Raw genomic sequence first — 14,322 nt, forward strand, 5'->3', positions numbered from 1 at the left:
TTTTTTGAGACTGAGTCTCTCTGTGTCGCCCAGGCTGGAGTGCAGTGGCACTATCTTGGCTCACTACAACCTCTGCCTCCTGGGTTCAAGCAATTCTCCTGCCTCAGCCTCCCAAGTAGCTGGGATTACAGGTGCATGCCACCACGCCTGGGTAATTTTTGTGTTTTTAGTAGAGACAGGGTTTCATCATGTTGGCCAGGCTGGTCTTGAGTTCCTGGCCTCAAGCAATCCACCAGCCTTGGTCTCCCAAGTGTTGGGATTACAGGCATAAGCCATGCATCTGGCCGCATTTCAACATTCTTAACTCCCTACTGGGCAAGGATTGTTCCCCGGGGTGCTTGTGGATGTGGCAGGGCTCCAGGTCTAGTTTCAGCTGAGCCATTCCTGCCTCTCTGTTCTGTCTCCCTAACATGTCTTAGGCTAACATCATACAATCAGAATTTCAGAACTTGGGGATCATCTAAGGAAACTGCCTAGGTTCAGGCAAGCAAGAGGAAACTGAAGGCCAGAGGTAAAAGCTGGCATCAGAACCACAGCGCTGGGGTCTGACACAACTGCAAACTAGCCGTGACTTTGCGTAGGCCTCAGTTTGCTCATCTGTAAGATAAAGAGGGTGATTTTGACATACATTAAGCATAACGTGCTAGGGCAAGAGGCCTCAGGGCTGTGCTGTGCGTCTGTCTCCCCAAGAGGCTCTGAGCCAGACGCCTGATGAGAACCCTCATCCTGCCTGCCTGCTTTGCAGCCCTGGCAAGTCACATCCCCTCTCAGAGCTCCAGTTTCCTTCTCTGCCAAATGCGGATAAGAATAGTTCCTCCATCTCATAGGATTGTTTTGAAATTTAAATGAGGTAGTACATGCAGCACAATCCCGGGCATGTAATAAACATTCAGTAAGTTATTATTAGTATTAGTATTATTAGACTTAAGCTCCTTGATGACATGATAGCATATCATCATTTTATCATCCTCACCATCTCTTGCACAGGGTGTGGCACTAGCGAGAGCTTAACATGCATTTGATAAATGAAAAAAAGAAAGGATAAACGAAGGAAGGACCAAACAAGTCTCATATTTTTCAGAGAAAAGGGGGACCCAGGTTAAGCAAGGGGACTTGGGGTGCTGTACAGGCAGGTCAGGTGTATTTTGGCCCAGAAGGGCTGCTGGTGCACCCGTGCCACCTTCGCCCTCCACACCCCCAGCACCCCACCTTGCAGGCCTGCAGCTGGGAGGCAGCCTGCAGGCAGGACATCTTGGCTGGACCTTGGACTTGATACCTCCTAGTCCCCGGCTCTCTGGGCCTCAGTTCTGCATCTGTGAAGGGGCGGCCGCTGTGAGGCTTTGCAGAGGTGGCAGCGCGTCAGTCCACTCTAGGGAGACTCTCCCCTCCAGCCAGGCTTCCACCAGCAGCCCAGGCTCCCAGGGGGCTCTCTGTTGGCACCTCCCAGAAGGAGGAGGAAGAGGGTGGGTTGGGAGGAAGATCATGTGACCTAGAGTGAATGTTTCCAGGCAAGTGGTAAGCCACAGACAACCAGAAGGTTGAGGCGTGTGTTTAGTGGCTTTTGAGGCACCCTGAACCGTGTGTCCAATGGGCAGTACAGCAGCAGCCTGTGGCCCCCGCCGCTCAACCCAGGCCCCCGCATCCCAGGCCATCTGGGGTCCAGCCTGTTCCACAGAAGGCTTCTAGCTCAGCATCGGCTTCTTGCCTCTCCAGTCCCTGCATCAGCTGCCTATGGTCTGGCCTGCTTGCCTGCCTCCCCCGACCTCAATTCATGCCTTGTGGAGGGGTCAGAGGCTGTGTCGGGGGGAATAGCCATGTCCTGCAGCGCAGTGCTTTGGCTGTGACAAGTCAGACTGGACACTTGGTTTTCTCCACCCAAGTCCTTTCCCTCTTCTTAGCTTAAAATTTGTCACTCTGGGAGGGGGTGGGATTCCCGTGGGTGAGCTCAGAGGTAGCTGCTAACTTGGGCTGATGGGAGCCTGAGAGAGGGCTGTGGGTCCGGAGAAGGCCAAAGCAATGCAGCTGCCCTGTGGGCTTCTCATCACTGTCAGCACCTCAGGAAACTTCTGGCCGGCTTTCCCTGCCCTCGTCCATCCAGGGCCCATCCAGCCTTGTATACTTCCCACCAGGGTCCCTGGGGTCCTGGCCGTCCCAGCCTGCTAATCTGTGAGCTGTACAAGCCAGGGCCATGTGCATTTATTTTTACAGAAATCTCTGCTCAGGAAGTGAGGAAAGGATAGGACAGATAAACAAAAGGGAGGAGGAGAAGTGAGGAGGAAAGAAGGAGAAAAGAGGGGTCTGTGAAGATGGGCTGGAGGGTCTTTGATGGATGAATGAGTCTGGTGGAAAACACAGAGCCCTGGACAGTTGAGGGCATTCTCTTCTTTCAACTAGAAAAAGTCAGGGCCAGAGACCCCTCAGGTATCATCCAGGCCAATGACCTGTTTTCTTGAAGAACCCATGGGGACAGGAACTCAGCTCCTGACTCCACTCCACGGCTTTTACACCATTCTCTGACTTGCATTGTCATTTGGGGGTCTGTGTACCAAGAAGGCAGAGGGTAAGGGGGATGGCTGGGCAGGGTCCAGCCTGGAACTCTGCAAGAGGAGCTCAGAGCACAGGTGAGAACCACAGCCCTTCCCAGGTGGCCCCTGGCAATCCTCCAACCTGGGTCAAAAGCAGCTACGACCCTAAATTCATGCTTAGTTACTGACATCCAGCAATGCCTAAGGGAAGGGTCAAAGTTCAGGATTAGCTGACCTTGATAAGAACACTGAGTCTTCCAAGTGTTTACTACACAGATCCTGTACCCCTAGTCAGACAGCCTAATTGAAACCAGCCTCATTGCAATGTGATCATGTTTTTAAGCAGCCTGTTCTGTTCCACGCACTCCTTTATCTGGAAGCAGTAAACAAGAATATGCACGCGCAGTGGACCACTTCTGAAGGTCAACATATAACTTTCTCATCCCTGACATCAACTGTCATCCCTGTGAGCAGAACCAACTACCAAAGGAGAGAGGTGGGTCAGAGGAGAAGAGATGGGGGGGCTCCTGGACACACATCTCCCCTGCCCCCTCTAAATACTGCAGCCACATAGAAACCCATGGGGAACAGTTGGGGCTTTTTATAATCTTTATTTGTTAACAGTTCAGGCTATTTTTTTTCCATGCTGCAAGAGATGCTAATGCCTCATGAAAAAGTTGTGAAAAAAAACCAAGTTTATTTTGGGGTGATCAGCCTCCTCAGAGCTTCTCACTCCCAGCTCTGCAGGGCTTAAGGAATGGGACCTGCCCTCTCTCAGGAGGTCTGCAGCTTGGTCAAGGAGAAGGAGTCTTAGACCTGGAAGCCCTGGCTATAATTTGCATTTTTGTCTCCCTCTTGTACCCTCTCTGCCTAGAAAACAGGGTGGAAATCACAGGATCTAGCTTCTTTCTGCTGCAGACCTGCTTGATGGTGGCTTCCAGGCCCTGTCCTGAGATATCACCATCCCAGGGGACTTAGAGTGGATCAACAATCATTGATATATATCATGCATTTCCTTTGCATGCAGTGTTTCACGTCATTAAGGGTGGTAATTGGAGCTCTTGAAAGACACAAACCATGCCCCAATTTCTTTACTGAAGTCGGAGATGTTTCAGAGATGCAATAAATGTTTCATGGAGGCCTTGGCCAGCTGTGACTTCCTGGGAGGCAGGGCCAGGGTAGGGAGGACTGGGGGAATGGGCACAGGAGTCTGCATGCCCACACCTCTGCCAGCAGGGACTAGGCGTAGCCTGGCCAGACCAGACTGGAAGTGGATTCTTCAGGTCCCACTTGGAGCAGCTCTGCCAGCTGCACGATGTGGCTGTAGAATGGCTGCAAGAGGCTGGCCAGCCGGGAGGACCCCACTGTCAGAACTCTGACTGGTGCTCCCTGTTCTGGGCTTCATTTTTCTGGGAGACCCACAGGGCACTAGAGCCAAGGTGCGCATGGGATTTATGGGATTTTTCTTTTTTTCTTTCTTTTTTTTTGAGGGGAGAATGTGTTCTTGCTCTGTCACCCAAGCTGCAGTACGGTGGTACGATCATAGTGCACTGCAGCCTCGAACTCCTGGGCTCAAGAGATCCTCCCGCCTCAGCCTCCAGAGTAGCTGGGACTACAGGCGTGCACCACTGCATCCGGTTCTACATGGGATTTTTTGATCTTGGGGGATTAGGCCCTTACTCTCCGTGCTGTCTGCCCTCCACACACGGCCCAGATGGCAGAGGCACAAATGGGAGGTGGCTCCCCCTTTACCCAGGGCATGGGGCTTATGTCTGTGAGGGGGAGCAGGCACAAGTGGAGAAGGAGTTAGAAGGGTGTCAGTGCTGGAAGGGACAGGAAGAAGGCCATGTAGCCACCCCTGTCTTCAGGTAAGGGACAATGTGATCTCCCCAAAGGGAGACCAGAGAGATTAAGGTTCTTGCTCAAAGTCACACAGCCACTTCCAAGGTTGGCACCGAGTTCATTGGTTGCTCCTCTGCGTTGGTTTCTTTTCACTCCTGGGAGCTTCCTCTTCTCTTGGCTTCTCTGGCTTCCCTGCCCCTGAAGGGTTGTCACAGAAGTGCCCTTCCATCCTCCCTGAACCACACAGTGCCAATAACCTCCAGAGCTGTCTGCCTGGCATCTCTAACCTCTTCCCTGATCACTTCCAATCTCTCCTGAAATTCTAGACTTTTCTTTGGCTAAACTGGTCCCAAGACTGTGACTGACCATTTAAAGAAACTGAAGGTGGGGACGTTGCAGAATTAGATTCTCTTTCTGTCTCTTACCATGTGTTTAATCCTCACTCTCTCTCCAAAAAATACCTCCTCCTTCCATTCTCAGCCATGCTGGCCATCAGCTGGTCTTTTTCTGAGTCTCAATTTGGGTCAGGAGATGTTTCAATGAAAAGAATGACCAAGAAAATATAGACCTTCCATGCTGGGCACGCACAGAGGATATCAGGGCCAGAATGAGTCTTGGAGGTCACCTGACCTGGCCCTTGTCCATGAGAAAGTGAGGCCCAGAGAGGGAAGGATATTGTCCAGTGTCAAGCAGCTTTGTGCAGGCAGAATCCAGGCCTCCGATGCATGACTGACCGCTCTTTTCCAAATCGCCAAACCAGCTCAGTATCCACAAATGCCTGAGGCACATGATGCACCAGGACCCCAGTTTCGGCCTCTCATCTAGTCCCTTGACTCCCTGGGTGGCCTTGGTCTTGGCCCCCAGGCTGGGGTCTCACCCCGCGCTGGACCCGGACATCAGGGGCCGCTCTCTTGTCCTGAGTAGGGCCCTCTATCTGGGCTGAGCGACCTTGGAGTAATTCGCGGTGTGCTCATTCCCTTTCTCCCCTCTGTCTCCCCTGCCCCGCCCCATCCACTCCTGTTCCTCACAACCAGGAGCCTGGAGGGAACACAGAGCGATGCAAGCCTGGAGAAAAGGCCCCGATGGCCCCCAGAAGACCTCTTCAGACAGCATGTGAGTAGCTACTGTGTACTGTGCTCTCCCTTCCCAAACATTGATTCATCCATCGAGCATTTATTAAGCAACTCCCAAATTGTTTGTTGAAGCACTAGACTGCAAGCACTAGACCAACATAAAAAAAAATACCTTTCTTTTTGAGACAGAGTCTCACTCTTCACCCACTGCACTGGAGTGCAATGGCGTGATCTCGGCTCACTGCAACCTCTGCCTCCCAGGTTTAAGCGAGTCTCCTGCCTCAGCCTCCCGAGTAGCTGGGATTACAGGCACATGCCACCACGCCCAGCTAATTTTTGTATTTTTAGTAGAGAAGGGGACTCACCTTGTTGGCCAGGCTGGTCTCAAACTCCTGACCTCAGGTGATCCACCTGCCTTGGCCTCCCAAAGTGCTGGGATTACAGGCATGAGCCACCGCGCCAGGTTCAAAATACCTTTTCGAATAGGCATTATCTTTTTTAAAAATTTTTTTTAATAGAGACAGGGTCTTATTATATTGCCCAGGCTGGTCTCCAACTCCTAACCTCAAGCTATTCTCTCAGCTCGGCCTCCCAAAGTGTTGAGATTACAGGCATAAGCCACCACACCCGGCCTGAACAAGCATTATAGTGTTGCTTCCTGGCCTGTGAGCAGGAACCTTGTCTGAGGAAAGAGAAATCTGCATCCTGGCTCTTACGAAAGCTCCCCTGCCGGTCCCAGGGAGTTCTCAGTACAATCAAGGACAGAGAAGAACCCAATGATAGATTGGTGTGATTGGTATTATTAGGGGAGCACAGGGGAAGAACAGGAAAGTTACACTTTGTCAAGTGTAAGAAAGTATTCATGGAAGGCTTGCTGGAGGAAGTGATATCTAGGCTGAGACTTGAAAGATGAGTACACATTTATCTGGTGAAAGGAGTAGAAATAGAGTGTTCGGACTGAAGAACTGCTTGTGCAAAGTCCCAGAAGCTTCCTGTATCCTTGTGGGGACCTGATGGTGTCCCTTAAGGCCTGGACAGGGAGGCTGAGAGACTCTAGGCTTTCCAGATTCAGCTCCTTCACCCTGCTGGGGCTCTGCATCTTGAAATGCCTCTGCTTTTGCTCATGGCTGGTTCTGAACTTTGCCCCAGCTGCAGGGTAGGAACACCACGTGCCCCAGCCTGCACATGGCAGGGGATGGGGGGCGGAGCTCATGTCACAAGGCCCATGGGGTGGGCTCCGCAGAGGCTGTAGTGTTCCAGGAGAGGGGTGCCATGAAAGCGCGGTTAGTAGCCTGCAAAGTGTTGAAGGGTAAAGCTGCCTGTGAAGCAAAGGGAAGGTGCAGGTTGGAGGATGGACTGAGCCAGGCGGTCTGCGTTGGGCTGGCACTGGGAAGGGGCCTTCACAGCCACAGGGAGAGCAACGCTGGTGGGACTGGCCGGGGAGCCTGCTGCGCTTTGCTAAGAGCCAGGATGGAGGTTTCTCTTTCCCCAGAAAAGCCTCCTGTTCACAGGCAGGCATCTGCCCGGCTTCAGGAAAACAGCAGCCGCGTGATGGCCTGGAGGAGGGTGGTGTGGGGAGGCATAGAGGGGGTGCCTTCTGGGGACAGGTTCCAGGGGTTTATGTCACTGGGGAGGTGGGTCACAAGAGGGATTTGGTGAGGGAAGAGATGCTGGGGTTGGGCAGGGGCAGGAGATTGTAGAATGGAACCTGCCTCCATGCTGCCAGGAAGCCCTTGGGCTACAGCCACGCAGCCAGGCACATGGCAGGACATTGCCAGACCCACCAGCAGAAGCAGATTTGGGAAGCCAGCAATGGGGGGAGTCAGTGCTCAGGCTGAACTGCTCCTCGGAATCACACCAGTGTTTCCAAGCTGCAGCAAATGGGCAGAGAGGGCTGGTGTGTGTGTGTGTGTGTGTGTGTGTGTGTGTGTGTGTGTGTGTGTGTGTGTGTGTGTGTGTGTGTGTGTGTCTGTGTGTCTGTGTATGTAACGGAATGGAGGAGGCAGAGAAAGAAAGAGGCCAGGAGCTTTTGTCTCCCACCCAGGCCTGCCTTGAGAAGTCACCTGAATAGAGGAAAATGGACTCCTCAGGGCCTGGGGTGGGAGGGCGCAGTGAAGGGAGTGGGAGGCTTCCTGTGCTGTGAGACGCTGCTGCCTGCCGGGTGCTAACAGCTGGGGACAGGGATGGGCATGAGAAGGCCCAACAGCACCTTGCTTGCTGGTGGGGAAGCCTGGCCTCTGGGAGTGGCCCTGTTTTCCAGGATCTGGCATTGGAGAGATGGGCAAAGATGAAGGGACGTGCCAGATCCTCAGCTGGGGTACCAGGGGCTGGAGGCTGTCTTGAATAGCAGAGTGGGGGTCCCGGGGCAGTCCTGGCCAGGGCTGGCTGGGAAGAGGCCTGGTTTTAGCCACAACTGGGGCACAGGCCGGCGGCTGCAGCTTGCTAGTGGTCTGCCCCTCATACAGCGTGGGGAATGCTGCCATCTGAGCTGTGAGTAGTGAACCGCTGGAGCTCCTCGCAGGCTGGCCTGAGGAGGAGGTCTGCAGAGGTCCCCAGACGGCCTAGGGTGGGACATGGATGGGGCGGCTTGACAGTGACAAGGGGCTGCAGAGGATGGGCTGGGGGGCACTGGTAGGAGAAGGTGGGGACTTGGAGGAACTCTGATGATAAGAGGGAACTGATTGGGGCGCCAACCATGACAGCCCTAGAGGTGAAATGATGGGGAAGGACTTTGATTTGGAGAAAGGCTGAAAGAGGGAACTGCATGCAAAAAGCAGGGCTGGGAATTGAGGGAACCTCCCCAGCAAAGCTCCTGCCTCTGCCTGAAACAGTTCACTGAGTGTGAGCGGGGCGGGGCGGGGGCTGTGGGGGTGCAATTTCATTTGACACCCACATTTTTGTCCAAGACCCTTCCACCCCAATCAACACTACACCTTGGAATTCACACAGTCCAGCCTGGTTGAGGCTTCCAGGCTGAGCTGGCTTTTTCTCCCAAGGCAGAAAGGGCATTGGCTCTAGCTTACAGTCCGAGCAGCCACCCTCTCCTGCTTCATGACTTTGGGTGGACGGGAGTTCTGTCTTCCTACTCCTTGCTCCACAGGGGCTATGGTCCTGCCAGGACAGGTGAAAGGTGATGTCAACTGGCATCTGGCATTCAGCTGGTCTCTGGAGGTGGGTGGAGGGAACAGGGTGTCCGTGGGAGAGACCCTGGCCTGCCGTGGGAATCATGCAGAGATCTCAAGTTATGATTTTCTCTGGCGCAGGGGCTCTTTGGCACACAGAAGATGGGGTAAGTCTCTTCAATGCCAAACATGTGGAGGAAGAACATGTGTGAGCATGGTTTACTTTCTCTCCTAAATATGTATTCAAATAAGTACTTTCTGGTTTATGGAGGGTGAGTTCTAACCAGAAATGAGAAGTAAGTAGCACTGTCAGTCATTGTTAACCTCTTGGCTAGCTCTGAGTAGATTGAGAAAGGGGTGGGAGAAGCATCCTCCAACAACCGAGCACTTCCTGTACATTGACCAGGTAGGTAGGCACGTTGATCACAAACACCTTGAGGGACAGCTTCCAAGTATATGCATTCACAGATGAGAAGCATGCTTCAGACAACACAAAATTCATTTTTAACCCGGCTTTCTTTTGGCAGTAAATTTCTCTTCCTAATCATATTTTGCATAAACTAATATTAGAGTGGATTTGCATTTTCAGAGCACAAGATGGAGGAGTGGTGGAGGCGGTTCAGGTGGGTGGCAGGCTGGTCTGGGCTTTAAAAATTGTCCAGAGGTAACTGAGGAGATGAATCAAACCAGACTGAGCTGACTACTTAACACTAGCAGTCAAGATCATCCTGGCTGGGCATGGTGGCTCACGCCTGTAATCCTAGTACTTTGGGAGGCCAAGGCAGGCAGATCACCCGAGGTCAGGAGTTCGAGACCAGCCTGGCCAAGGTGGTGAAACCCCGTCTCTACCAAAAATACATAAATTAGCTGGGAATAGTGGCGTGCACTTGTAGTCCCAGCTACTCGGGAGGCTGAGGCAGAACTGCTTGAACCCAAGAGGCGGAGGTTGCAGTGAACCAAGATTGCACCACTGCACTCCAGCCTGGGCAACAGAGGGAGACTCAAAAAAAAAAAAAAAAAAAAAAGATTATCCTGATAAAACCAGCCTTGAATATGGAAAGTGTCTTCTAGGGACCCCTCAGGTTATAGATGTTATACCTTAGAATCTCTCTATTTTACAGAGGGGTAAATTGAGGCAGAAAACCCAAAGAAGGCTTAGGGACGATTTTCGAGGCTACTCACTTCATGGTGTTTCTTTCAGAGATTAGCAGCTATTACTGAACTCCAGGAGGCAACAGGAGGGGGATGGGATGGAGGTGGGGACCCGCTGAAGAAGGCCTAGGTGGGAGACAGGTAACGTGGTACAGGTACCCACCCCACAACTCATTAAGGGCCATGGAGGGAGGAAGGCTCTCAAGTGCCACGAAAATTCCCAAAGCAGCAGAGGGCTTGTATGGAAACGCCGGTTATTCGTCCCTACCCGGCCCCCGCCCCCCGCCCCCCCGACTGCCCCTGCCGTCGCCTCCCCGTGGGCAAGTGGTGGGGGCCTGGGCTTACAACCACACGTTCTCCTCCAACTAGCATCCCTTCCAGGGTGCACTAGGATGCCTCTCAGAGGTTCTCCCCCGCCTCCCGAAGGAAAGGGGAAAACCCCGTGGGCGTCCGGAGAGCCTTTGCGCCTCGCCAGGTGGAGGGACCGGCGCCACCCAGACCCGCGAGCCGAGACCCTCCCCGCGGCGTCGCTGCGGGAGGGGCGGAAGAGCGCGGGCGGTGGGCGGGAGCGGTGCTGCGAGGCGGGATCTGCGGGGCGTCCAATCCCCTTCTTCCCCCGCCCGCCCCCTCCCCGCCCCCCGAACGCTTTCCACCAACTGCGCGCGGCAGTGGGCGGGGCCCGTCACGGCTGTCGTCTTGGGTGCGATTTTTTTCTCCTCCTTTTTTTACCCTCCCGTTTTTTTCTTTTCTTTTTTTTTTCCCTATCCTTTTTTTGTGAATGAAAAAAGGAGGTCGCGAGCGGTACCTGGGACTGCAGCGCCAGGCGTCTTCGCGGCAGCGCCTTCGCCGCGGGCCCGGGCGCGTAGCGGCGGCGGCCTCGCCCCTCTCCCGGCGCCCCTGCGCGCCGCCCGCTGCCTCCGCAGCCCGGCTCCGCGCGCCGCCGTGACATTGGGCGCCTGGCGCGCGGGGCGATGCTGATCCGGAAGGGGCAGCGGCTGCAGTGCAGCGCGCGCGTCCGCTCCTGGGCCCACGTCCGGCCTGGGCTGCCCTGCCGGAGTTTCTGAGTGGCCGCGAGCTGGCCGGGAGGCTGGAGCCCAGCAGCAGCGCGGCGGCGCCGGCGTCGTCCCAACTTGCAGGCGCGGAGGGACCCCTGACATTTCACTAAAATGAGCGTGCTCAGCAGGAAGAGATGTGTTCCTCACGCTAGAAGCCACCCCGTCACATGTAGTGGTGTAAGTAGATGGCTGCTTGCGGTTATGGCGGGGTGGCCAGCAGCCCTTGCAGACGCGCCGCTCCGCCCTCCCTGCCCTGCCGCGCCCCTCGCTACGTTCCCCGGGCCCCGCTAGTCCCTGGGCTCTGGCTTCGGCTGCTGGGTACAGCGGGGCTGGAGCCTAATCCTTTCCGGTGTTTCTAGGGAAAGGAAGATGACTTGATTGCTTCGGCCTGTCGTGCCCCTCCCCCTTCTCGATGTTTAAAAATTTTTAAATTTCTATTTTGTGTGTGTGCAGAGTAGCGTGTCAGAAAAAAGGAAAAACGGTCCAGAGTGGTGGGAGTGATTCTGTTAAGAAAACAAACACAAAACAACAGTGGAATTGGGGTGTTTTGCTGGCGGTTCCGGAGCTGGTTCTTTGAACTCAACTCCATTGCAGTCTATGTAACTGAGTTCTGTGAAACTACTGGGGAGATCTTTGGCGGTGTTTGGTGATGTGTCCACATTTTAGGTTTGAGGGGGCTTATCTGTGTTTAGGCTTGCATTTCTTTAATCTGACCATTCAGGGTCCCTTTGGGCCTTGCTTTCTGTTGGATCTGCACGGGGCTTCTTGCAATGCCAGCGACCCCCGTGGGAGCCTCCCCGAATTAGGAGTCCACTCTCTCTTTGTTCTTCTCCTTCCAATTCTCCATTCAATCCATCTCCCTTGATTTTACCTTCATTTTCAGGATTTTCCTCCCATTCCCATTTTGTAAGATGATGTGGGATACTGGTTGCTAGGAGACAAGCCAGGCTCCCAGGGAGATTCTGTTGTTTCCTTGACAACCAGACTAGGGCAGCCACAGATGAACAAGCCTCCTATCAGCTGTGGGAGGGAAAGGGGCCCTTTCTGAGCTCTGCAAAGAGTGTGTGTAGGGGTGTGGGGGTGGGACTGGGAGAGCACGAGGTTTGTAGCTAATTTCAGCACACCTTGGGTTTTGGCTTGCACCAAGTACAAAGAGCTGGGAGAGCGGTGGGCAGGAGGCTGTTTTTGGAGGGGCACAGGGATCATGGGACAGGGATGGAAGGAACACATGCCAGTGACTTTGCGATTGTCATGGAAGAGGAGTGAGTTGGGGGTTGTGATGCCCAGGGCTGGGTGGTGAGGAGGTCATAGTTTATGGAGGTTGATTGAGTGGGGATGAGGCAATTGTGAGGGAGAGTCTGGAGTCAGGGAAGAAGAGAGAGCCGGAGGGAGAGGGGAAGCTGAGAGGCTCACTGAATGGGCTGTATCACCATATATCAGCAATGAGTGGGCTGTATCACCATACATCAGCAATGATACAACATCAGCAACATCCTAGGGCAAAAATTATATTACTCTTGGCACACTCTCTCCAGGACAGGATCCTCCTTTAAGACAGGCCTGATTAGACTAAGAGTTCTAACACTTGAATTGGGCCAGTCTGTATCTTAAAGACAGATATAATTACACATATAGATATGCAATCTAGCATTATATAATACCACATTACATAAGAAGACAAATACCTCCTTTCAGCCCAGCCTCTCTTGGCACAAATTAACCACGGTTCAGGAGACTCTTCCAATGTCTTCATACCCATTTCCCAGAGGGGGAGACTGATGCCCAGAAAATATAAGTGACTTGCCTCTTCCTAGATAGGACAGTGAAGTTTGCCAGTCAGGCAGTTGGGACAGGGTAGAAAGGGTGAGATGATACAAACAGAGAGGCAGCTGAAGGACAAGGGGACTGCTGAAGGGGCTGGGGAATGGATGGAAGGGGTTGCGCAACCCAGAAGGTCTGATGTCTAAACTCATGGCACAGTATTTGTCAATTTCCACTTGTTGATTGGCTGACCACTGCTTAACTCTAGAGGTGACATAGCACAGGTGGGCAGCAGTGTTTTCATCACAAAGTAGCTGAACTTGGCCCAGCACTGCTCTGCTGGTGTTCTGGCATTATTCTCACTGTCAAGGTGCTCCTGAATTTGAGAACTGGCATCCCTCCATTAGGCCTCCTCATTCCCCCGCTTCTGTCTACAGACCTACATGCTGGGAGAATCGGAACTTGAGAAAGAAGTTCTTTTGGCTCTTGGGTTTTAATCTTTATCCTCCAGCTGCACATATTTTGTATTTGGGATTATATCTGTTTTGGTATTCACTCGACAAAACAGAAACCACAGCCCAGATGCTGCCTCCTGGCGCCAGCACATTCCTCAACTTGAGATCAGGAACTGTCAAAGTGGGGTTCCCGGTCCTCAGTTCAGGAGAGAGAATTGGGAGGAGGAAGCCTGTGGTTAGAATAACAGTTCTTAACAGTTCTCTGGGCCAGGTGTGGTGGCTCACGCCTGTAATCCCAGCACTTTGGGAGGCCAAGGCGGGCAGATCACTTGAGGTCAGGAGTTTAAGACCAGCCTGACCAACATGGCGAAACCCCGTATCTACTAAAAATACAAAATTAGCCGGCATAGTGGCACACACCTGTAATCCCAGCTACCTGGGAGGCTGAGGCAGGAGAATCACTTGAACCCAGGAGGCAGAGGCTGCAGTGAGCCGAGATCATGCCACTGCACTCCAGCCTGGGTGTCAAGCGCAAAACTCCGTCTCAAAAAAATACAAAAACAAAAAACGGTTGTCTGCTGAGGGAGGGTTAGGAGAGAGAAGGGGTGGTACAGTTGCCCTGGAGACCATGAGGGCACTGCATGGAGACCTCGTTGAAGGGTCCAGATCCTGTAACATTCCAAAAAGGCGGAGGAGGTTGTCTCATTGAGAAGTCCTTGCTGCACTTTTTGCTTAGGTTGCTGAGATGCATCCACTCGCACGGATCCCAGTTGCTATCGTTACTTGGATATTTCGGTCTGCATCCCTGCATGCTGGCATCCAGTTACAGCCCAGCAGGAATGGAGCCTCCCTGTTGTTGCTGGTGGCCTGGCTCTGGGCTGGATGGCTCAGCAGCCAGGGTGCCTGGGCAGCCTCCAGCACTCAGAGCTCAGCCTTCCTTAGCCTAGGAGGGATGACTCCGGGCTGCTAAAGCCCCCCCAGACGACTTTCATACACACAGGAATGTGAGTGGGGCGGGCAGATGACGCTGGCGAAACCAAGCGTCCTAATCACGCTGGCCCTGCCCCTGCTCCCTAATCCCAGGAGGGTGGATGCCGAGGCCAGGGCCTCCTGGCGACAGATTTTTAAACACGAACATGACATCTGACTACAGAAGTGCCTTCTGTTTGTTCATTCAAGCCATCCCTCTCTGGGGGTGGACAAGCCACTTCCTCTCTGCTCAACATCGAAGGCAACTGAGGCAAGCATTTGCCCAGAAATTCAGGCTCAAATTTCTGATCTTTTGCTTTCTGGCAATCCCATCGCCCATGTAGCCAGTTTAGTGAACATCACCTAGG

At 53.4% G+C, this 14,322-nt stretch overlaps 1 protein-coding gene and 1 long non-coding RNA gene across 10 annotated transcripts in view, besides 3 other annotated features; one reads left to right on the plus strand and one right to left on the minus strand.

Moving 5' to 3' along the window:
- The window catches only part of RHOBTB2-AS1 (RHOBTB2 antisense RNA 1), a 46,187-nt gene extending 35,541 nt beyond the window's left edge, over window positions 1-10,646 (minus strand). Inside the window, exon 1 of the long non-coding RNA XR_007060857.1 lies at window positions 10,520-10,646. This is a non-coding gene — a long non-coding RNA (RHOBTB2 antisense RNA 1). The remainder of the gene's footprint in view (window positions 1-10,519) is intronic.
- Window positions 1-14,322, plus strand: part of RHOBTB2 (Rho related BTB domain containing 2) — a 69,387-nt gene that overhangs the window by 38,347 nt on the left and 16,718 nt on the right. For 2 of the 9 annotated variants that reach the window (XM_047421609.1, NM_001160036.2), the window contains 2 exons: window positions 2,909-3,021; window positions 5,402-5,480. In XM_047421609.1, the coding sequence (XP_047277565.1) occupies window positions 5,425-5,480 (56 nt within the window). In that variant the 5' untranslated portion in view covers window positions 2,909-3,021; window positions 5,402-5,424. Of the gene's footprint in view, window positions 1-2,868; window positions 3,022-5,401; window positions 5,481-6,681; window positions 6,724-7,612; window positions 7,931-10,388; window positions 10,947-14,322 lie in introns of those variants that run through there. The other 7 variants (XM_047421611.1, XM_047421607.1, XM_047421610.1 and 4 more) reach the window with 6 other exon arrangements.
- Window positions 10,069-10,328: a silencer, noted in NCBI's record as "silent region_19017". NCBI's record gives its function as "represses an Ori minimal core promoter by ATAC-STARR-seq in GM12878 lymphoblastoid cells {active_cell/tissue: GM12878}" and the evidence as "EXISTENCE:reporter gene assay evidence [ECO:0000049][PMID:35858748]".
- Window positions 10,549-10,718: a silencer, noted in NCBI's record as "silent region_19018". NCBI's record gives its function as "represses an Ori minimal core promoter by ATAC-STARR-seq in GM12878 lymphoblastoid cells {active_cell/tissue: GM12878}" and the evidence as "EXISTENCE:reporter gene assay evidence [ECO:0000049][PMID:35858748]".
- Window positions 11,049-11,098: a silencer, noted in NCBI's record as "silent region_19019". NCBI's record gives its function as "represses an Ori minimal core promoter by ATAC-STARR-seq in GM12878 lymphoblastoid cells {active_cell/tissue: GM12878}" and the evidence as "EXISTENCE:reporter gene assay evidence [ECO:0000049][PMID:35858748]".

Source organism: Homo sapiens, chromosome 8, assembly GCF_000001405.40.
Source record: "Homo sapiens chromosome 8, GRCh38.p14 Primary Assembly".
NCBI lineage: Eukaryota > Metazoa > Chordata > Mammalia > Primates > Hominidae > Homo > Homo sapiens.